This window comes from Homo sapiens, chromosome X (genome assembly GCF_000001405.40).
Source record: "Homo sapiens chromosome X, GRCh38.p14 Primary Assembly".
NCBI classification, from domain to species: Eukaryota; Metazoa; Chordata; class Mammalia; order Primates; family Hominidae; genus Homo; species Homo sapiens.
Genome location: NC_000023.11, coordinates 120,952,811 through 120,976,344, shown reverse-complemented (window position 1 = coordinate 120,976,344; position 23,534 = coordinate 120,952,811). Strand labels below are relative to the sequence as shown.

The 23,534-nt window shown below is 48.2% G+C and overlaps 5 protein-coding genes across 5 annotated transcripts; all 5 read left to right on the top strand.

The window, feature by feature from the left end:
• CT47A3 (cancer/testis antigen family 47 member A3) lies at positions 277-3,599 on the top strand. The gene is made up of 3 exons (NM_001080144.2): positions 277-1,277; positions 2,165-2,320; positions 3,459-3,599. The coding sequence occupies exons 1-2, from the start codon at positions 536-538 to the stop codon at positions 2,287-2,289; spliced, it is 867 nt and encodes a 288-aa protein (NP_001073613.1). The 5' UTR covers positions 277-535; the 3' UTR covers positions 2,290-2,320; positions 3,459-3,599.
• CT47A4 (cancer/testis antigen family 47 member A4) lies at positions 5,137-8,459 on the top strand. The gene is made up of 3 exons (NM_001080143.2): positions 5,137-6,137; positions 7,025-7,180; positions 8,319-8,459. The coding sequence occupies exons 1-2, from the start codon at positions 5,396-5,398 to the stop codon at positions 7,147-7,149; spliced, it is 867 nt and encodes a 288-aa protein (NP_001073612.1). The 5' UTR covers positions 5,137-5,395; the 3' UTR covers positions 7,150-7,180; positions 8,319-8,459.
• On the top strand, positions 9,997-13,319 carry CT47A5 (cancer/testis antigen family 47 member A5). Its single transcript, NM_001080142.2, has 3 exons — positions 9,997-10,997; positions 11,885-12,040; positions 13,179-13,319. Exons 1-2 carry the CDS (start codon positions 10,256-10,258, stop codon positions 12,007-12,009), a joined length of 867 nt encoding a protein of 288 aa, NP_001073611.1. The 5' UTR covers positions 9,997-10,255; the 3' UTR covers positions 12,010-12,040; positions 13,179-13,319.
• On the top strand, positions 14,858-18,180 carry CT47A6 (cancer/testis antigen family 47 member A6). The gene is made up of 3 exons (NM_001080141.2): positions 14,858-15,858; positions 16,746-16,901; positions 18,040-18,180. Exons 1-2 carry the CDS (start codon positions 15,117-15,119, stop codon positions 16,868-16,870), a joined length of 867 nt encoding a protein of 288 aa, NP_001073610.1. The 5' UTR covers positions 14,858-15,116; the 3' UTR covers positions 16,871-16,901; positions 18,040-18,180.
• On the top strand, positions 19,745-23,063 carry CT47A7 (cancer/testis antigen family 47 member A7). The gene is made up of 3 exons (NM_001080140.1): positions 19,745-20,741; positions 21,629-21,784; positions 22,923-23,063. The coding sequence occupies exons 1-2, from the start codon at positions 20,000-20,002 to the stop codon at positions 21,751-21,753; spliced, it is 867 nt and encodes a 288-aa protein (NP_001073609.1). The 5' UTR covers positions 19,745-19,999; the 3' UTR covers positions 21,754-21,784; positions 22,923-23,063.

Below are 23,534 nucleotides of genomic sequence, written 5' to 3'. Positions count from 1 at the left end.
CAGCTACTCAGGAGGCTGAGGCAGGAGAATCACTGGAACCCAGGAGGCGGGGATTGCAGTGAGCCGAGATCTTGCCACTGCACTCCAGCCTGGGCAACAGAGCAACACTATGAAAAGAAAAGAAAAAGCTCTGGATTCTGGATTCTCAGTTCTAGAGCTTAAGGGCCTTGATCATTCATTGGACATAGAACATGTCAATCTGAAGTTTTCAGCAAATGAGCTTAGGGCTCACTGAGAGCCCCTCGTTGACCCTTCCGGTCCCGCCCCCTTTCGCCTGCCAACCAGAATCTTTCCCAACTTGTCTAAGTCCTCTCAGGCCAGCCTTGGTGGGAGGTTTCTAGGATTCGCTCCCTGCCCTTCCCATCTTAGGGTGTCGTCTGAGACAGACTCTTATTCCCTCAATAAAGAGAGAGACTCTTATTCCCTCAGCGGCCAGCTCCTCGCCTCCCCTCGGCCGTAGCCACCTCAGTGGTCACCGTCTTCACCGTGGTCGCCTCAGCCCGCTCGCCACCCCAGTTGAGGCGCTGCTGGTGTCATGTCTGCCACAGGGGACCGACACCCGACCCAAGGGGACCAGGAGGCCCCGGTAAGCCAGGAGGGAGCACAGGCCGAGGCGGCCGGAGCTGGTAACCAGGAGGGCGGCGACTCCGGCCCCGACAGCAGCGACGTGGTGCCTGCGGCCGAGGTGGTCGGAGTCGCAGGGCCCGTGGAAGGCCTCGGGGAGGAGGAGGGTGAGCAGGCGGCAGGCCTGGCCGCAGTCCCCCGGGGCGGGAGCGCCGAGGAGGACTCAGATATCGGGCCCGCGACGGAGGAAGAGGAGGAGGAAGAGGGGAACGAGGCGGCCAACTTCGACTTGGCGGTGGTCGCCCGTCGCTACCCGGCGTCGGGCATTCACTTCGTGCTCCTGGACATGGTCCACTCCCTTCTCCACCGCCTCTCTCACAACGACCACATCCTCATAGAGAACCGTCAACTCAGCCGCCTGATGGTGGGGCCACACGCTGCTGCGCGCAACCTCTGGGGCAACCTCCCCCCGCTGCTGCTGCCCCAGAGGCTGGGTGCAGGGGCCGCAGCCCGGGCGGGCGAGGGCCTGGGCCTGATCCAGGAGGCCGCATCGGTCCCAGAGCCTGCAGTGCCAGCTGACCTGGCCGAGATGGCCAGGGAGCCCGCGGAGGAGGCCGCAGAGGAGAAGCTCTCAGAGGAGGCCACAGAGGAACCAGACGCAGAGGAACCGGCCACAGAAGAACCGACCGCACAGGAGGCCACGGCCCCAGAGGGTAAGGAACGGGCTAGCGGCAGCAGCGGGGAGGCGGGGACCCGTGTGTCCCAGGGTTCTAGGCAGGGCCGCGGTGCGGGCATAGCTGGTGAAGCGGGTGGTGAAGGGGGGTCGGGGCCTCGGGTGGTGAAGCAGGAGTCGGGGCCCTCCTGAAACTTAAGGCAGAATGTGTCCCAATGAGTCGAAGCCCAATTCTCTAACGACATCTGTGGTTTTGAGAAAACTTGTCGCCCTCTACCAACCTATATTTGATAGGAGATCTGAGATCATCGGTGCCATTTGTGAGCCCGCAGATGAATGGCCGGGTAGATAGGGGTTCAGGAGGGAGCTCCGCAGGAAACAGAAGGGATGCGCCAAGGAAAAGAACAGGCAAATGGCAGGCATCCCTTTTAGTTCATGGCTTTTCAAAGTGTAAAGATTCGTAGAAAGTTGATCCCCCAAATGATGAAGTGATGCAGGAGCACTTGGTAAAAATGAAGCATTCAGGGGGGTGAGGAACCAATGAGCTTCACCATAGAATTTGTCTTTTGAGGTAAACAAATATTTTCCCAACAAAGTTCTGACCAAAACACCGTAGAATGAGATCGGACCCGATGATTCAGATCTCTTCTTCTCCAAAGAACTAGAAATAATCAGCCGCTTTGGGTGGGAGATTTACTGGAAAAAAGGGAAATACAGTGTCCCTGTGGAAATGATCAAGCAGCAGCAACGTGAGGGCCATGGAACTGTTGTGAAAACCAGTAGGAAGGTGCCCAGCTATTCCTTTCTTACTTAACTCTATCCTGCTTCTCCTGAGGGTGGAGTAGCTGAATGCCGCTGCTAGTTATAAATTGGGCTATATTTTCTGTGAATGTCTGGTCCCCATGTGTGTATTATTCTTCCCTAAAGAAGTCACTAAATCTCAGCCCGAAAAGTGGGATGAAGAGGCCCAAGATGCTGCAGGCGAGGAAGAGAAAGAACAAGAAAAAGAGAAGGATGCGGAAAACAAGGTGAAGAACTCCAAAGGGACCTAGACGCAGCAGAGGTGAAGCCAAGAAAATCCAGGTATCTGTGTATAGCTTTGAGAATCACTCAACTATTCCTGGCATTTACCTGTTGCAGACAGTTTTATTGAACAACAACAAAAATTCTCAGTAAGTTAAGTAAGAAAAAGTTTAAAATTAGTTTAAAAATTCAATTTAACTTACTTAAAATGTTACGAGAATATTCATGTACCTAGTAATATGAACTGCAGTGTGTTCTGAAATATACTTCTTGGCTACTCATTTGTTCATGTTGAGGTCTTTTGTCCTCTAGCTGCAAGACTACTAACAAGTGGCAGATGTATCAGACCTACTACCAGGACCAATATTTGTGTAGAAAACAGTTGCCAGACACAGCCGCTAACTTGGCTGGGCCACGCATTAGTTGGGCCTTCGTTACTTGACCACAGAAATGCAGGCTCCCGTAGTAACTAGGAGACAACTCAATGCCTTTTACAAAGTGACTACTTAAAAATAGCAAAAAGCTAAGAATTTCAAGTAGGACCACAATGAATGATTAATACCTAGATATTTATTTGGCTATATATTTTGGTATTTTATGTCACAGTCAGATGAAAAGAATGTGTGTTTATCACTGAATTGGTAATGAAGTCTTAAGGTATATCCATCTTTGAGTGTATTTAAATGGTTAACATTTTTCTTTCTTTCTTATTTATTTATTTATTTTGCATTTTCACAGCCGTATATTTCGTAACGGCTTCTTTCCCACATGGTAGATACGGAAACCAAGGGTCTGGGAGGGTAAGGGAGTATTATTTGTGGAACCAGCACAGGCTGTTGAAGCTTGAGAGATTTATTTAAATCCCAGAATGGCCCCTCATGTAAAAACAAAAGCAACAAGCTTTTCTAGTGCTAGGCAGACAAGGTTGGTGTGATCATTTGACTGAAACCTTCAGTTCCACAAGCACCCTGATATCCAAGCTCGTGAGTTACAAAAGGAAAAGATGGGCTTCTCTACTTGTTTAAGATATAGCACACAAATGTTGCAGATATACACAGAGCTGGCCATTTTCTTCTATTTAGAAAGTCACTGGTGCTGGTTAATGTTGTACTATTGTTTATCATCTCTCATTTCATCCCACAGTCGGGAGGAAAAGAAAGAAGACTCTGTTGTTCATTGTTTTTATCTTTTTCTCCAGATGCCTGTGGGAATTGTAACACATATCATTCCAAAGTTCGTTACATCAAAAGTGATATCCAGTGACATCTAACTTTCATGGATGTATGTGACAGTGTTCAAGTTAAAAAATAAAAGTTTGTTTTAAATGAATAAACTGAAACGTGGGAAGATTTTTCAATAAGTAATCTTAACTCAAATCTCTCCTTTACGTCTTTGTTTTGGCCCACCATACCTTCATTGAAAGATATTACTTTCCGCCATTTGGTAAGACTCTTTGAAATTCTTTCACTGCAGCCAAAAATCAAGTAAAATGACAAGTTTAAAACAATTTTTGAAAAGAGAGAGATGGGGCTCATCTTTAGAGCTGTGTGTTGTGACTACTGAGCACTTGTAATACGGCTAGTCTGATTTAATATGTGATGCAAGTGTGAAAATAATATTGCATATATTACTAATTTTTTTTTTTTTTTTTGAAACTGAGTCTCGCTCTGTCACCCAGGCTGGAGTGCAGTGGGGCCATCTTGGCTCACTGCAACCTCCACCTCCCAGGCTCCAGCAAATTTCCTGCCTCACCCTTCCGAGTAGCTGGGACTACAGGCGCGCACCACCATGTCCAGCTAATTTTTTGTATTTTTAGTACAGACAGGGTTTTACCATTTTGGTCATGCTGGTCTCGAACTACTGACCTCAGGTGATCTGCCTGCCTCGGCCTCCCAAAGTGCGGCCTCCCAAAGTGCTGGATTACAGGCGTGAGCCACCACCCCCAGGCACTTTTGGTGTTTTTGATGCTTAGCTCTTATGAGATGACCTGGTCCTTTTAAAAAAAGTATCTCTTTTTTTCCCCATTATTTGGAGGTTTGAAGTGAATTTGGCAGGATTCATTAAACACCTTCCAGTGTCTGTCATTTACCACCTCAACACTCAGTGATGACTGCATCCATTTCAACTCTGCACATTCTTTTCTAAGTAGCTTTAACTACGTTAACTCAGTGAAATTCTTATGTCTCTTGGGAGGTTTTCACTACTGCTTAGCTATGAACTATATAACATTTTTATGACACTATCTCTACTGGCATGAGCCATTACTAGGTGGAAATAAGTGAACTCTGTGACCGCCTTGCAGTTCCCATGCTCCAGGGTGCCTCCACATGGGACTACTATAGTGTTGCTAATAATCATAAAATTAAAAGGGCAGGACTTGTGTGGACCTAAAGGGGTAGCCTTGGACACTAAGGCCTCATAGAAAAGGTAGAGCTCGGCCTGGCACGGTGGCTCATGCCTGTAATCCAAGCACTTTGGGAGGCTGAGGCAGGTGGATCACAAGGTCAGGAGATCGAGACCATCCTGGCCAACATGGTGAAACCCTGTCTCTACTAAAAATACAAAACCTAGCCAGGCGTGGTGGCATGTACCTGTAGTCCCAGCTACTCAGGAGGCTGAGGCAGGAGAATCACTGGAACCCAGGAGGCGGGGATTGCAGTGAGCCGAGATCTTGCCACTGCACTCCAGCCTGGGCAACAGAGCAACACTATGAAAAGAAAAGAAAAAGCTCTGGATTCTGGATTCTCAGTTCTAGAGCTTAAGGGCCTTGATCATTCATTGGACATAGAACATGTCAATCTGAAGTTTTCAGCAAATGAGCTTAGGGCTCACTGAGAGCCCCTCGTTGACCCTTCCGGTCCCGCCCCCTTTCGCCTGCCAACCAGAATCTTTCCCAACTTGTCTAAGTCCTCTCAGGCCAGCCTTGGTGGGAGGTTTCTAGGATTCGCTCCCTGCCCTTCCCATCTTAGGGTGTCGTCTGAGACAGACTCTTATTCCCTCAATAAAGAGAGAGACTCTTATTCCCTCAGCGGCCAGCTCCTCGCCTCCCCTCGGCCGTAGCCACCTCAGTGGTCACCGTCTTCACCGTGGTCGCCTCAGCCCGCTCGCCACCCCAGTTGAGGCGCTGCTGGTGTCATGTCTGCCACAGGGGACCGACACCCGACCCAAGGGGACCAGGAGGCCCCGGTAAGCCAGGAGGGAGCACAGGCCGAGGCGGCCGGAGCTGGTAACCAGGAGGGCGGCGACTCCGGCCCCGACAGCAGCGACGTGGTGCCTGCGGCCGAGGTGGTCGGAGTCGCAGGGCCCGTGGAAGGCCTCGGGGAGGAGGAGGGTGAGCAGGCGGCAGGCCTGGCCGCAGTCCCCCGGGGCGGGAGCGCCGAGGAGGACTCAGATATCGGGCCCGCGACGGAGGAAGAGGAGGAGGAAGAGGGGAACGAGGCGGCCAACTTCGACTTGGCGGTGGTCGCCCGTCGCTACCCGGCGTCGGGCATTCACTTCGTGCTCCTGGACATGGTCCACTCCCTTCTCCACCGCCTCTCTCACAACGACCACATCCTCATAGAGAACCGTCAACTCAGCCGCCTGATGGTGGGGCCACACGCTGCTGCGCGCAACCTCTGGGGCAACCTCCCCCCGCTGCTGCTGCCCCAGAGGCTGGGTGCAGGGGCCGCAGCCCGGGCGGGCGAGGGCCTGGGCCTGATCCAGGAGGCCGCATCGGTCCCAGAGCCTGCAGTGCCAGCTGACCTGGCCGAGATGGCCAGGGAGCCCGCGGAGGAGGCCGCAGAGGAGAAGCTCTCAGAGGAGGCCACAGAGGAACCAGACGCAGAGGAACCGGCCACAGAAGAACCGACCGCACAGGAGGCCACGGCCCCAGAGGGTAAGGAACGGGCTAGCGGCAGCAGCGGGGAGGCGGGGACCCGTGTGTCCCAGGGTTCTAGGCAGGGCCGCGGTGCGGGCATAGCTGGTGAAGCGGGTGGTGAAGGGGGGTCGGGGCCTCGGGTGGTGAAGCAGGAGTCGGGGCCCTCCTGAAACTTAAGGCAGAATGTGTCCCAATGAGTCGAAGCCCAATTCTCTAACGACATCTGTGGTTTTGAGAAAACTTGTCGCCCTCTACCAACCTATATTTGATAGGAGATCTGAGATCATCGGTGCCATTTGTGAGCCCGCAGATGAATGGCCGGGTAGATAGGGGTTCAGGAGGGAGCTCCGCAGGAAACAGAAGGGATGCGCCAAGGAAAAGAACAGGCAAATGGCAGGCATCCCTTTTAGTTCATGGCTTTTCAAAGTGTAAAGATTCGTAGAAAGTTGATCCCCCAAATGATGAAGTGATGCAGGAGCACTTGGTAAAAATGAAGCATTCAGGGGGGTGAGGAACCAATGAGCTTCACCATAGAATTTGTCTTTTGAGGTAAACAAATATTTTCCCAACAAAGTTCTGACCAAAACACCGTAGAATGAGATCGGACCCGATGATTCAGATCTCTTCTTCTCCAAAGAACTAGAAATAATCAGCCGCTTTGGGTGGGAGATTTACTGGAAAAAAGGGAAATACAGTGTCCCTGTGGAAATGATCAAGCAGCAGCAACGTGAGGGCCATGGAACTGTTGTGAAAACCAGTAGGAAGGTGCCCAGCTATTCCTTTCTTACTTAACTCTATCCTGCTTCTCCTGAGGGTGGAGTAGCTGAATGCCGCTGCTAGTTATAAATTGGGCTATATTTTCTGTGAATGTCTGGTCCCCATGTGTGTATTATTCTTCCCTAAAGAAGTCACTAAATCTCAGCCCGAAAAGTGGGATGAAGAGGCCCAAGATGCTGCAGGCGAGGAAGAGAAAGAACAAGAAAAAGAGAAGGATGCGGAAAACAAGGTGAAGAACTCCAAAGGGACCTAGACGCAGCAGAGGTGAAGCCAAGAAAATCCAGGTATCTGTGTATAGCTTTGAGAATCACTCAACTATTCCTGGCATTTACCTGTTGCAGACAGTTTTATTGAACAACAACAAAAATTCTCAGTAAGTTAAGTAAGAAAAAGTTTAAAATTAGTTTAAAAATTCAATTTAACTTACTTAAAATGTTACGAGAATATTCATGTACCTAGTAATATGAACTGCAGTGTGTTCTGAAATATACTTCTTGGCTACTCATTTGTTCATGTTGAGGTCTTTTGTCCTCTAGCTGCAAGACTACTAACAAGTGGCAGATGTATCAGACCTACTACCAGGACCAATATTTGTGTAGAAAACAGTTGCCAGACACAGCCGCTAACTTGGCTGGGCCACGCATTAGTTGGGCCTTCGTTACTTGACCACAGAAATGCAGGCTCCCGTAGTAACTAGGAGACAACTCAATGCCTTTTACAAAGTGACTACTTAAAAATAGCAAAAAGCTAAGAATTTCAAGTAGGACCACAATGAATGATTAATACCTAGATATTTATTTGGCTATATATTTTGGTATTTTATGTCACAGTCAGATGAAAAGAATGTGTGTTTATCACTGAATTGGTAATGAAGTCTTAAGGTATATCCATCTTTGAGTGTATTTAAATGGTTAACATTTTTCTTTCTTTCTTATTTATTTATTTATTTTGCATTTTCACAGCCGTATATTTCGTAACGGCTTCTTTCCCACATGGTAGATACGGAAACCAAGGGTCTGGGAGGGTAAGGGAGTATTATTTGTGGAACCAGCACAGGCTGTTGAAGCTTGAGAGATTTATTTAAATCCCAGAATGGCCCCTCATGTAAAAACAAAAGCAACAAGCTTTTCTAGTGCTAGGCAGACAAGGTTGGTGTGATCATTTGACTGAAACCTTCAGTTCCACAAGCACCCTGATATCCAAGCTCGTGAGTTACAAAAGGAAAAGATGGGCTTCTCTACTTGTTTAAGATATAGCACACAAATGTTGCAGATATACACAGAGCTGGCCATTTTCTTCTATTTAGAAAGTCACTGGTGCTGGTTAATGTTGTACTATTGTTTATCATCTCTCATTTCATCCCACAGTCGGGAGGAAAAGAAAGAAGACTCTGTTGTTCATTGTTTTTATCTTTTTCTCCAGATGCCTGTGGGAATTGTAACACATATCATTCCAAAGTTCGTTACATCAAAAGTGATATCCAGTGACATCTAACTTTCATGGATGTATGTGACAGTGTTCAAGTTAAAAAATAAAAGTTTGTTTTAAATGAATAAACTGAAACGTGGGAAGATTTTTCAATAAGTAATCTTAACTCAAATCTCTCCTTTACGTCTTTGTTTTGGCCCACCATACCTTCATTGAAAGATATTACTTTCCGCCATTTGGTAAGACTCTTTGAAATTCTTTCACTGCAGCCAAAAATCAAGTAAAATGACAAGTTTAAAACAATTTTTGAAAAGAGAGAGATGGGGCTCATCTTTAGAGCTGTGTGTTGTGACTACTGAGCACTTGTAATACGGCTAGTCTGATTTAATATGTGATGCAAGTGTGAAAATAATATTGCATATATTACTAATTTTTTTTTTTTTTTTTGAAACTGAGTCTCGCTCTGTCACCCAGGCTGGAGTGCAGTGGGGCCATCTTGGCTCACTGCAACCTCCACCTCCCAGGCTCCAGCAAATTTCCTGCCTCACCCTTCCGAGTAGCTGGGACTACAGGCGCGCACCACCATGTCCAGCTAATTTTTTGTATTTTTAGTACAGACAGGGTTTTACCATATTGGTCATGCTGGTCTCGAACTACTGACCTCAGGTGATCTGCCTGCCTCGGCCTCCCAAAGTGCGGCCTCCCAAAGTGCTGGATTACAGGCGTGAGCCACCACCCCCAGGCACTTTTGGTGTTTTTGATGCTTAGCTCTTATGAGATGACCTGGTCCTTTTAAAAAAAGTATCTCTTTTTTTCCCCATTATTTGGAGGTTTGAAGTGAATTTGGCAGGATTCATTAAACACCTTCCAGTGTCTGTCATTTACCACCTCAACACTCAGTGATGACTGCATCCATTTCAACTCTGCACATTCTTTTCTAAGTAGCTTTAACTACGTTAACTCAGTGAAATTCTTATGTCTCTTGGGAGGTTTTCACTACTGCTTAGCTATGAACTATATAACATTTTTATGACACTATCTCTACTGGCATGAGCCATTACTAGGTGGAAATAAGTGAACTCTGTGACCGCCTTGCAGTTCCCATGCTCCAGGGTGCCTCCACATGGGACTACTATAGTGTTGCTAATAATCATAAAATTAAAAGGGCAGGACTTGTGTGGACCTAAAGGGGTAGCCTTGGACACTAAGGCCTCATAGAAAAGGTAGAGCTCGGCCTGGCACGGTGGCTCATGCCTGTAATCCAAGCACTTTGGGAGGCTGAGGCAGGTGGATCACAAGGTCAGGAGATCGAGACCATCCTGGCCAACATGGTGAAACCCTGTCTCTACTAAAAATACAAAACCTAGCCAGGCGTGGTGGCATGTACCTGTAGTCCCAGCTACTCAGGAGGCTGAGGCAGGAGAATCACTGGAACCCAGGAGGCGGGGATTGCAGTGAGCCGAGATCTTGCCACTGCACTCCAGCCTGGGCAACAGAGCAACACTATGAAAAGAAAAGAAAAAGCTCTGGATTCTGGATTCTCAGTTCTAGAGCTTAAGGGCCTTGATCATTCATTGGACATAGAACATGTCAATCTGAAGTTTTCAGCAAATGAGCTTAGGGCTCACTGAGAGCCCCTCGTTGACCCTTCCGGTCCCGCCCCCTTTCGCCTGCCAACCAGAATCTTTCCCAACTTGTCTAAGTCCTCTCAGGCCAGCCTTGGTGGGAGGTTTCTAGGATTCGCTCCCTGCCCTTCCCATCTTAGGGTGTCGTCTGAGACAGACTCTTATTCCCTCAATAAAGAGAGAGACTCTTATTCCCTCAGCGGCCAGCTCCTCGCCTCCCCTCGGCCGTAGCCACCTCAGTGGTCACCGTCTTCACCGTGGTCGCCTCAGCCCGCTCGCCACCCCAGTTGAGGCGCTGCTGGTGTCATGTCTGCCACAGGGGACCGACACCCGACCCAAGGGGACCAGGAGGCCCCGGTAAGCCAGGAGGGAGCACAGGCCGAGGCGGCCGGAGCTGGTAACCAGGAGGGCGGCGACTCCGGCCCCGACAGCAGCGACGTGGTGCCTGCGGCCGAGGTGGTCGGAGTCGCAGGGCCCGTGGAAGGCCTCGGGGAGGAGGAGGGTGAGCAGGCGGCAGGCCTGGCCGCAGTCCCCCGGGGCGGGAGCGCCGAGGAGGACTCAGATATCGGGCCCGCGACGGAGGAAGAGGAGGAGGAAGAGGGGAACGAGGCGGCCAACTTCGACTTGGCGGTGGTCGCCCGTCGCTACCCGGCGTCGGGCATTCACTTCGTGCTCCTGGACATGGTCCACTCCCTTCTCCACCGCCTCTCTCACAACGACCACATCCTCATAGAGAACCGTCAACTCAGCCGCCTGATGGTGGGGCCACACGCTGCTGCGCGCAACCTCTGGGGCAACCTCCCCCCGCTGCTGCTGCCCCAGAGGCTGGGTGCAGGGGCCGCAGCCCGGGCGGGCGAGGGCCTGGGCCTGATCCAGGAGGCCGCATCGGTCCCAGAGCCTGCAGTGCCAGCTGACCTGGCCGAGATGGCCAGGGAGCCCGCGGAGGAGGCCGCAGAGGAGAAGCTCTCAGAGGAGGCCACAGAGGAACCAGACGCAGAGGAACCGGCCACAGAAGAACCGACCGCACAGGAGGCCACGGCCCCAGAGGGTAAGGAACGGGCTAGCGGCAGCAGCGGGGAGGCGGGGACCCGTGTGTCCCAGGGTTCTAGGCAGGGCCGCGGTGCGGGCATAGCTGGTGAAGCGGGTGGTGAAGGGGGGTCGGGGCCTCGGGTGGTGAAGCAGGAGTCGGGGCCCTCCTGAAACTTAAGGCAGAATGTGTCCCAATGAGTCGAAGCCCAATTCTCTAACGACATCTGTGGTTTTGAGAAAACTTGTCGCCCTCTACCAACCTATATTTGATAGGAGATCTGAGATCATCGGTGCCATTTGTGAGCCCGCAGATGAATGGCCGGGTAGATAGGGGTTCAGGAGGGAGCTCCGCAGGAAACAGAAGGGATGCGCCAAGGAAAAGAACAGGCAAATGGCAGGCATCCCTTTTAGTTCATGGCTTTTCAAAGTGTAAAGATTCGTAGAAAGTTGATCCCCCAAATGATGAAGTGATGCAGGAGCACTTGGTAAAAATGAAGCATTCAGGGGGGTGAGGAACCAATGAGCTTCACCATAGAATTTGTCTTTTGAGGTAAACAAATATTTTCCCAACAAAGTTCTGACCAAAACACCGTAGAATGAGATCGGACCCGATGATTCAGATCTCTTCTTCTCCAAAGAACTAGAAATAATCAGCCGCTTTGGGTGGGAGATTTACTGGAAAAAAGGGAAATACAGTGTCCCTGTGGAAATGATCAAGCAGCAGCAACGTGAGGGCCATGGAACTGTTGTGAAAACCAGTAGGAAGGTGCCCAGCTATTCCTTTCTTACTTAACTCTATCCTGCTTCTCCTGAGGGTGGAGTAGCTGAATGCCGCTGCTAGTTATAAATTGGGCTATATTTTCTGTGAATGTCTGGTCCCCATGTGTGTATTATTCTTCCCTAAAGAAGTCACTAAATCTCAGCCCGAAAAGTGGGATGAAGAGGCCCAAGATGCTGCAGGCGAGGAAGAGAAAGAACAAGAAAAAGAGAAGGATGCGGAAAACAAGGTGAAGAACTCCAAAGGGACCTAGACGCAGCAGAGGTGAAGCCAAGAAAATCCAGGTATCTGTGTATAGCTTTGAGAATCACTCAACTATTCCTGGCATTTACCTGTTGCAGACAGTTTTATTGAACAACAACAAAAATTCTCAGTAAGTTAAGTAAGAAAAAGTTTAAAATTAGTTTAAAAATTCAATTTAACTTACTTAAAATGTTACGAGAATATTCATGTACCTAGTAATATGAACTGCAGTGTGTTCTGAAATATACTTCTTGGCTACTCATTTGTTCATGTTGAGGTCTTTTGTCCTCTAGCTGCAAGACTACTAACAAGTGGCAGATGTATCAGACCTACTACCAGGACCAATATTTGTGTAGAAAACAGTTGCCAGACACAGCCGCTAACTTGGCTGGGCCACGCATTAGTTGGGCCTTCGTTACTTGACCACAGAAATGCAGGCTCCCGTAGTAACTAGGAGACAACTCAATGCCTTTTACAAAGTGACTACTTAAAAATAGCAAAAAGCTAAGAATTTCAAGTAGGACCACAATGAATGATTAATACCTAGATATTTATTTGGCTATATATTTTGGTATTTTATGTCACAGTCAGATGAAAAGAATGTGTGTTTATCACTGAATTGGTAATGAAGTCTTAAGGTATATCCATCTTTGAGTGTATTTAAATGGTTAACATTTTTCTTTCTTTCTTATTTATTTATTTATTTTGCATTTTCACAGCCGTATATTTCGTAACGGCTTCTTTCCCACATGGTAGATACGGAAACCAAGGGTCTGGGAGGGTAAGGGAGTATTATTTGTGGAACCAGCACAGGCTGTTGAAGCTTGAGAGATTTATTTAAATCCCAGAATGGCCCCTCATGTAAAAACAAAAGCAACAAGCTTTTCTAGTGCTAGGCAGACAAGGTTGGTGTGATCATTTGACTGAAACCTTCAGTTCCACAAGCACCCTGATATCCAAGCTCGTGAGTTACAAAAGGAAAAGATGGGCTTCTCTACTTGTTTAAGATATAGCACACAAATGTTGCAGATATACACAGAGCTGGCCATTTTCTTCTATTTAGAAAGTCACTGGTGCTGGTTAATGTTGTACTATTGTTTATCATCTCTCATTTCATCCCACAGTCGGGAGGAAAAGAAAGAAGACTCTGTTGTTCATTGTTTTTATCTTTTTCTCCAGATGCCTGTGGGAATTGTAACACATATCATTCCAAAGTTCGTTACATCAAAAGTGATATCCAGTGACATCTAACTTTCATGGATGTATGTGACAGTGTTCAAGTTAAAAAATAAAAGTTTGTTTTAAATGAATAAACTGAAACGTGGGAAGATTTTTCAATAAGTAATCTTAACTCAAATCTCTCCTTTACGTCTTTGTTTTGGCCCACCATACCTTCATTGAAAGATATTACTTTCCGCCATTTGGTAAGACTCTTTGAAATTCTTTCACTGCAGCCAAAAATCAAGTAAAATGACAAGTTTAAAACAATTTTTGAAAAGAGAGAGATGGGGCTCATCTTTAGAGCTGTGTGTTGTGACTACTGAGCACTTGTAATACGGCTAGTCTGATTTAATATGTGATGCAAGTGTGAAAATAATATTGCATATATTACTAATTTTTTTTTTTTTTTTTTGAAACTGAGTCTCGCTCTGTCACCCAGGCTGGAGTGCAGTGGGGCCATCTTGGCTCACTGCAACCTCCACCTCCCAGGCTCCAGCAAATTTCCTGCCTCACCCTTCCGAGTAGCTGGGACTACAGGCGCGCACCACCATGTCCAGCTAATTTTTTGTATTTTTAGTACAGACAGGGTTTTACCATATTGGTCATGCTGGTCTCGAACTACTGACCTCAGGTGATCTGCCTGCCTCGGCCTCCCAAAGTGCGGCCTCCCAAAGTGCTGGATTACAGGCGTGAGCCACCACCCCCAGGCACTTTTGGTGTTTTTGATGCTTAGCTCTTATGAGATGACCTGGTCCTTTTAAAAAAAGTATCTCTTTTTTTCCCCATTATTTGGAGGTTTGAAGTGAATTTGGCAGGATTCATTAAACACCTTCCAGTGTCTGTCATTTACCACCTCAACACTCAGTGATGACTGCATCCATTTCAACTCTGCACATTCTTTTCTAAGTAGCTTTAACTACGTTAACTCAGTGAAATTCTTATGTCTCTTGGGAGGTTTTCACTACTGCTTAGCTATGAACTATATAACATTTTTATGACACTATCTCTACTGGCATGAGCCATTACTAGGTGGAAATAAGTGAACTCTGTGACCGCCTTGCAGTTCCCATGCTCCAGGGTGCCTCCACATGGGACTACTATAGTGTTGCTAATAATCATAAAATTAAAAGGGCAGGACTTGTGTGGACCTAAAGGGGTAGCCTTGGACACTAAGGCCTCATAGAAAAGGTAGAGCTCGGCCTGGCACGGTGGCTCATGCCTGTAATCCAAGCACTTTGGGAGGCTGAGGCAGGTGGATCACAAGGTCAGGAGATCGAGACCATCCTGGCCAACATGGTGAAACCCTGTCTCTACTAAAAATACAAAACCTAGCCAGGCGTGGTGGCATGTACCTGTAGTCCCAGCTACTCAGGAGGCTGAGGCAGGAGAATCACTGGAACCCAGGAGGCGGGGATTGCAGTGAGCCGAGATCTTGCCACTGCACTCCAGCCTGGGCAACAGAGCAACACTATGAAAAGAAAAGAAAAAGCTCTGGATTCTGGATTCTCAGTTCTAGAGCTTAAGGGCCTTGATCATTCATTGGACATAGAACATGTCAATCTGAAGTTTTCAGCAAATGAGCTTAGGGCTCACTGAGAGCCCCTCGTTGACCCTTCCGGTCCCGCCCCCTTTCGCCTGCCAACCAGAATCTTTCCCAACTTGTCTAAGTCCTCTCAGGCCAGCCTTGGTGGGAGGTTTCTAGGATTCGCTCCCTGCCCTTCCCATCTTAGGGTGTCGTCTGAGACAGACTCTTATTCCCTCAATAAAGAGAGAGACTCTTATTCCCTCAGCGGCCAGCTCCTCGCCTCCCCTCGGCCGTAGCCACCTCAGTGGTCACCGTCTTCACCGTGGTCGCCTCAGCCCGCTCGCCACCCCAGTTGAGGCGCTGCTGGTGTCATGTCTGCCACAGGGGACCGACACCCGACCCAAGGGGACCAGGAGGCCCCGGTAAGCCAGGAGGGAGCACAGGCCGAGGCGGCCGGAGCTGGTAACCAGGAGGGCGGCGACTCCGGCCCCGACAGCAGCGACGTGGTGCCTGCGGCCGAGGTGGTCGGAGTCGCAGGGCCCGTGGAAGGCCTCGGGGAGGAGGAGGGTGAGCAGGCGGCAGGCCTGGCCGCAGTCCCCCGGGGCGGGAGCGCCGAGGAGGACTCAGATATCGGGCCCGCGACGGAGGAAGAGGAGGAGGAAGAGGGGAACGAGGCGGCCAACTTCGACTTGGCGGTGGTCGCCCGTCGCTACCCGGCGTCGGGCATTCACTTCGTGCTCCTGGACATGGTCCACTCCCTTCTCCACCGCCTCTCTCACAACGACCACATCCTCATAGAGAACCGTCAACTCAGCCGCCTGATGGTGGGGCCACACGCTGCTGCGCGCAACCTCTGGGGCAACCTCCCCCCGCTGCTGCTGCCCCAGAGGCTGGGTGCAGGGGCCGCAGCCCGGGCGGGCGAGGGCCTGGGCCTGATCCAGGAGGCCGCATCGGTCCCAGAGCCTGCAGTGCCAGCTGACCTGGCCGAGATGGCCAGGGAGCCCGCGGAGGAGGCCGCAGAGGAGAAGCTCTCAGAGGAGGCCACAGAGGAACCAGACGCAGAGGAACCAGCCACAGAAGAACCGACCGCACAGGAGGCCACGGCCCCAGAGGGTAAGGAACGGGCTAGCGGCAGCAGCGGGGAGGCGGGGACCCGTGTGTCCCAGGGTTCTAGGCAGGGCCGCGGTGCGGGCATAGCTGGTGAAGCGGGTGGTGAAGGGGGGTCGGGGCCTCGGGTGGTGAAGCAGGAGTCGGGGCCCTCCTGAAACTTAAGGCAGAATGTGTCCCAATGAGTCGAAGCCCAATTCTCTAACGACATCTGTGGTTTTGAGAAAACTTGTCGCCCTCTACCAACCTATATTTGATAGGAGATCTGAGATCATCGGTGCCATTTGTGAGCCCGCAGATGAATGGCCGGGTAGATAGGGGTTCAGGAGGGAGCTCCGCAGGAAACAGAAGGGATGCGCCAAGGAAAAGAACAGGCAAATGGCAGGCATCCCTTTTAGTTCATGGCTTTTCAAAGTGTAAAGATTCGTAGAAAGTTGATCCCCCAAATGATGAAGTGATGCAGGAGCACTTGGTAAAAATGAAGCATTCAGGGGGGTGAGGAACCAATGAGCTTCACCATAGAATTTGTCTTTTGAGGTAAACAAATATTTTCCCAACAAAGTTCTGACCAAAACACCGTAGAATGAGATCGGACCCGATGATTCAGATCTCTTCTTCTCCAAAGAACTAGAAATAATCAGCCGCTTTGGGTGGGAGATTTACTGGAAAAAAGGGAAATACAGTGTCCCTGTGGAAATGATCAAGCAGCAGCAACGTGAGGGCCATGGAACTGTTGTGAAAACCAGTAGGAAGGTGCCCAGCTATTCCTTTCTTACTTAACTCTATCCTGCTTCTCCTGAGGGTGGAGTAGCTGAATGCCGCTGCTAGTTATAAATTGGGCTATATTTTCTGTGAATGTCTGGTCCCCATGTGTGTATTATTCTTCCCTAAAGAAGTCACTAAATCTCAGCCCGAAAAGTGGGATGAAGAGGCCCAAGATGCTGCAGGCGAGGAAGAGAAAGAACAAGAAAAAGAGAAGGATGCAGAAAACAAGGTGAAGAACTCCAAAGGGACCTAGACGCAGCAGAGGTGAAGCCAAGAAAATCCAGGTATCTGTGTATAGCTTTGAGAATCACTCAACTATTCCTGGCATTTACCTGTTGCAGACAGTTTTATTGAACAACAACAAAAATTCTCAGTAAGTTAAGTAAGAAAAAGTTTAAAATTAGTTTAAAAATTCAATTTAACTTACTTAAAATGTTACGAGAATATTCATGTACCTAGTAATATGAACTGCAGTGTGTTCTGAAATATACTTCTTGGCTACTCATTTGTTCATGTTGAGGTCTTTTGTCCTCTAGCTGCAAGACTACTAACAAGTGGCAGATGTATCAGACCTACTACCAGGACCAATATTTGTGTAGAAAACAGTTGCCAGACACAGCCGCTAACTTGGCTGGGCCACGCATTAGTTGGGCCTTCGTTACTTGACCACAGAAATGCAGGCTCCCGTAGTAACTAGGAGACAACTCAATGCCTTTTACAAAGTGACTACTTAAAAATAGCAAAAAGCTAAGAATTTCAAGTAGGACCACAATGAATGATTAATACCTAGATATTTATTTGGCTATATATTTTGGTATTTTATGTCACAGTCAGATGAAAAGAATGTGTGTTTATCACTGAATTGGTAATGAAGTCTTAAGGTATATCCATCTTTGAGTGTATTTAAATGGTTAACATTTTTCTTTCTTTCTTATTTATTTATTTATTTTGCATTTTCACAGCCGTATATTTCGTAACGGCTTCTTTCCCACATGGTAGATACGGAAACCAAGGGTCTGGGAGGGTAAGGGAGTATTATTTGTGGAACCAGCACAGGCTGTTGAAGCTTGAGAGATTTATTTAAATCCCAGAATGGCCCCTCATGTAAAAACAAAAGCAACAAGCTTTTCTAGTGCTAGGCAGACAAGGTTGGTGTGATCATTTGACTGAAACCTTCAGTTCCACAAGCACCCTGATATCCAAGCTCGTGAGTTACAAAAGGAAAAGATGGGCTTCTCTACTTGTTTAAGATATAGCACACAAATGTTGCAGATATACACAGAGCTGGCCATTTTCTTCTATTTAGAAAGTCACTGGTGCTGGTTAATGTTGTACTATTGTTTATCATCTCTCATTTCATCCCACAGTCGGGAGGAAAAGAAAGAAGACTCTGTTGTTCATTGTTTTTATCTTTTTCTCCAGATGCCTGTGGGAATTGTAACACATATCATTCCAAAGTTCGTTACATCAAAAGTGATATCCAGTGACATCTAACTTTCATGGATGTATGTGACAGTGTTCAAGTTAAAAAATAAAAGTTTGTTTTAAATGAATAAACTGAAACGTGGGAAGATTTTTCAATAAGTAATCTTAACTCAAATCTCTCCTTTACGTCTTTGTTTTGGCCCACCATACCTTCATTGAAAGATATTACTTTCCGCCATTTGGTAAGACTCTTTGAAATTCTTTCACTGCAGCCAAAAATCAAGTAAAATGACAAGTTTAAAACAATTTTTGAAAAGAGAGAGATGGGGCTCATCTTTAGAGCTGTGTGTTGTGACTACTGAGCACTTGTAATACGGCTAGTCTGATTTAATATGTGATGCAAGTGTGAAAATAATATTGCATATATTACTAATTTTTTTTTTTTTTTTTGAAACTGAGTCTCGCTCTGTCACCCAGGCTGGAGTGCAGTGGGGCCATCTTGGCTCACTGCAACCTCCACCTCCCAGGCTCCAGCAAATTTCCTGCCTCACCCTTCCGAGTAGCTGGGACTACAGGCGCGCACCACCATGTCCAGCTAATTTTTTGTATTTTTAGTACAGACAGGGTTTTACCATATTGGTCATGCTGGTCTCGAACTACTGACCTCAGGTGATCTGCCTGCCTCGGCCTCCCAAAGTGCGGCCTCCCAAAGTGCTGGATTACAGGCGTGAGCCACCACCCCCAGGCACTTTTGGTGTTTTTGATGCTTAGCTCTTATGAGATGACCTGGTCCTTTTAAAAAAAGTATCTCTTTTTTTCCCCATTATTTGGAGGTTTGAAGTGAATTTGGCAGGATTCATTAAACACCTTCCAGTGTCTGTCATTTACCACCTCAACACTCAGTGATGACTGCATCCATTTCAACTCTGCACATTCTTTTCTAAGTAGCTTTAACTACGTTAACTCAGTGAAATTCTTATGTCTCTTGGGAGGTTTTCACTACTGCTTAGCTATGAACTATATAACATTTTTATGACACTATCTCTACTGGCATGAGCCATTACTAGGTGGAAATAAGTGAACTCTGTGACCGCCTTGCAGTTCCCATGCTCCAGGGTGCCTCCACATGGGACTACTATAGTGTTGCTAATAATCATAAAATTAAAAGGGCAGGACTTGTGTGGACCTAAAGGGTAGCCCTGGACACTAAGGCCTCAAAGAAAAGGTGGAGCTCGGCCGGGCACACTGGCTCACGCCTGTAATCCCAGCACTTTGGGAGGCCGAGGTAGGTGGATCACAAGATCAGGAGATCGAGACCATCCTGGCCAACATGGTGAAACCCTGTCTCTACTAAAAATACAAAAACTAGCCGGGCGTGGTGGCATGCACCTATAGTCCCAGCTACTCAGGAGGCTGAGGCAGGAGAATCACTGGAACCCAGGAGGCGGGGATTGCAGTCAGCTGAGATCATGCCACTGTACTCCAGCCTGGGCAATAGAGCAAGGCTCCGTCTGAAAAAATAAAAATAAAAAAAAGAAAAGGAAAAGCTCTGGATTCTGGATTCTGAGTTGTCCTAGAGCTTAAGGGCCTTGATCATTCATTGGACAAAGAGCATGTCAATCTGAAGTTTTCAGCAAATGAGCTTAGGGCTCACTGAGAGCCCCTCGTTGACCCTTCCGGTCCCGCCCCCTGTCTCCTGCCAACCAGAATCTTTCCCGCCTTATCTAAGTCCTCTCAGGCCAGACTTGGTGGGAGGTTCCTAGGATTCGCTCCCTGCCCTTCCCACCTTAGGGTGTCCTCTGAGACAGACTCTTATTTCCTCAATAAAGAGAAAGACTCTTATTCCCTCAGCGGCCAGCTCCTCGCCTCCCCTCGGCCGTAGCCACCTCAGTGGTCACCGTCTTCACCGTGGTCGCCTCAGCCCGCTCGCCACCCCAGTTGAGGCGCTGCTGGTGTCATGTCTGCCACAGGGGACCGACACCCGACCCAAGGGGACCAGGAGGCCCCGGTAAGCCAGGAGGGAGCACAGGCCGAGGCGGCCGGAGCTGGTAACCAGGAGGGCGGCGACTCCGGCCCCGACAGCAGCGACGTGGTGCCTGCGGCCGAGGTGGTCGGAGTCGCAGGGCCCGTGGAAGGCCTCGGGGAGGAGGAGGGTGAGCAGGCGGCAGGCCTGGCCGCAGTCCCCCGGGGCGGGAGCGCCGAGGAGGACTCAGATATCGGGCCCGCGACGGAGGAAGAGGAGGAGGAAGAGGGGAACGAGGCGGCCAACTTCGACTTGGCGGTGGTCGCCCGTCGCTACCCGGCGTCGGGCATTCACTTCGTGCTCCTGGACATGGTCCACTCCCTTCTCCACCGCCTCTCTCACAACGACCACATCCTCATAGAGAACCGTCAACTCAGCCGCCTGATGGTGGGGCCACACGCTGCTGCGCGCAACCTCTGGGGCAACCTCCCCCCGCTGCTGCTGCCCCAGAGGCTGGGTGCAGGGGCCGCAGCCCGGGCGGGCGAGGGCCTGGGCCTGATCCAGGAGGCCGCATCGGTCCCAGAGCCTGCAGTGCCAGCTGACCTGGCCGAGATGGCCAGGGAGCCCGCGGAGGAGGCCGCAGAGGAGAAGCTCTCAGAGGAGGCCACAGAGGAACCAGACGCAGAGGAACCGGCCACAGAAGAACCGACCGCACAGGAGGCCACGGCCCCAGAGGGTAAGGAACGGGCTAGCGGCAGCAGCGGGGAGGCGGGGACCCGTGTGTCCCAGGGTTCTAGGCAGGGCCGCGGTGCGGGCATAGCTGGTGAAGCGGGTGGTGAAGGGGGGTCGGGGCCTCGGGTGGTGAAGCAGGAGTCGGGGCCCTCCTGAAACTTAAGGCAGAATGTGTCCCAATGAGTCGAAGCCCAATTCTCTAACGACATCTGTGGTTTTGAGAAAACTTGTCGCCCTCTACCAACCTATATTTGATAGGAGATCTGAGATCATCGGTGCCATTTGTGAGCCCGCAGATGAATGGCCGGGTAGATAGGGGTTCAGGAGGGAGCTCCGCAGGAAACAGAAGGGATGCGCCAAGGAAAAGAACAGGCAAATGGCAGGCATCCCTTTTAGTTCATGGCTTTTCAAAGTGTAAAGATTCGTAGAAAGTTGATCCCCCAAATGATGAAGTGATGCAGGAGCACTTGGTAAAAATGAAGCATTCGGGGGGGTGAGGAACCAATGAGCTTCACCATAGAATTTGTCTTTTGAGGTAAACAAATATTTTCCCAACAAAGTTCTGACCAAAACACCGTAGAATGAGATCGGACCCGATGATTCAGATCTCTTCTTCTCCAAAGAACTAGAAATAATCAGCCGCTTTGGGTGGGAGATTTACTGGAAAAAAGGGAAATACAGTGTCCCTGTGGAAATGATCAAGCAGCAGCAACGTGAGGGCCATGGAACTGTTGTGAAAACCAGTAGGAAGGTGCCCAGCTATTCCTTTCTTACTTAACTCTATCCTGCTTCTCCTGAGGGTGGAGTAGCTGAATGCCGCTGCTAGTTATAAATTGGGCTATATTTTCTGTGAATGTCTGGTCCCCATGTGTGTATTATTCTTCCCTAAAGAAGTCACTAAATCTCAGCCCGAAAAGTGGGATGAAGAGGCCCAAGATGCTGCAGGCGAGGAAGAGAAAGAACAAGAAAAAGAGAAGGATGCGGAAAACAAGGTGAAGAACTCCAAAGGGACCTAGACGCAGCAGAGGTGAAGCCAAGAAAATCCAGGTATCTGTGTATAGCTTTGAGAATCACTCAACTATTCCTGGCATTTACCTGTTGCAGACAGTTTTATTGAACAACAACAAAAATTCTCAGTAAGTTAAGTAAGAAAAAGTTTAAAATTAGTTTAAAAATTCAATTTAACTTACTTAAAATGTTACGAGAATATTCATGTACCTAGTAATATGAACTGCAGTGTGTTCTGAAATATACTTCTCGGCTACTCATTTGTTCATGTTGAGGTCTTTTGTCCTCTAGCTGCAAGACTACTAACAAGTGGCAGATGTATCAGACCTACTACCAGGACCAATATTTGTGTAGAAAACAGTTGCCAGACACAGCCGCTAACTTGGCTGGGCCACGCATTAGTTGGGCCTTCGTTACTTGACCACAGAAATGCAGGCTCCCGTAGTAACTAGGAGACAACTCAATGCCTTTTACAAAGTGACTACTTAAAAATAGCAAAAAGCTAAGAATTTCAAGTAGGACCACAATGAATGATTAATACCTAGATATTTATTTGGCTATATATTTTGGTATTTTATGTCACAGTCAGATGAAAAGAATGTGTGTTTATCACTGAATTGGTAATGAAGTCTTAAGGTATATCCATCTTTGAGTGTATTTAAATGGTTAACATTTTTCTTTCTTTCTTATTTATTTATTTATTTTGCATTTTCACAGCCGTATATTTCGTAACGGCTTCTTTCCCACATGGTAGATACGGAAACCAAGGGTCTGGGAGGGTAAGGGAGTATTATTTGTGGAACCAGCACAGGCTGTTGAAGCTTGAGAGATTTATTTAAATCCCAGAATGGCCCCTCATGTAAAAACAAAAGCAACAAGCTTTTCTAGTGCTAGGCAGACAAGGTTGGTGTGATCATTTGACTGAAACCTTCAGTTCCACAAGCACCCTGATATCCAAGCTCGTGAGTTACAAAAGGAAAAGATGGGCTTCTCTACTTGTTTAAGATATAGCACACAAATGTTGCAGATATACACAGAGCTGGCCATTTTCTTCTATTTAGAAAGTCACTGGTGCTGGTTAATGTTGTACTATTGTTTATCATCTCTCATTTCATCCCACAGTTGGGAGGAAAAGAAAGAAGACTCTGTTGTTCATTGTTTTTATCTTTTTCTCCAGATGCCTGTGGGAATTGTAACACATATCATTCCAAAGTTCGTTACATCAAAAGTGATATCCAGTGACATCTAACTTTCATGGATGTATGTGACAGTGTTCAAGTTAAAAAATAAAAGTTTGTTTTAAATGAATAAACTGAAACGTGGGAAGATTTTTCAATAAGTAATCTTAACTCAAATCTCTCCTTTACGTCTTTGTTTTGGCCCACCATACCTTCATTGAAAGATATTACTTTCCGCCATTTGGTAAGACTCTTTGAAATTCTTTCACTGCAGCCAAAAATCAAGTAAAATGACAAGTTTAAAACAATTTTTGAAAAGAGAGAGATGGGGCTCATCTTTAGAGCTGTGTGTTGTGACTACTGAGCACTTGTAATACGGCTAGTCTGATTTAATATGTGATGCAAGTGTGAAAATAATATTGCATATATTACTAATTTTTTTTTTTTTTTTTGAAACTGAGTCTCGCTCTGTCACCCAGGCTGGAGTGCAGTGGGACCATCTTGGCTCACTGCAACCTCCACCTCCCAGGCTCCAGCAAATTTCCTGCCTCACCCTTCCGAGTAGCTGGGACTACAGGCGCGCACCACCATGTCCAGCTAATTTTTTGTAT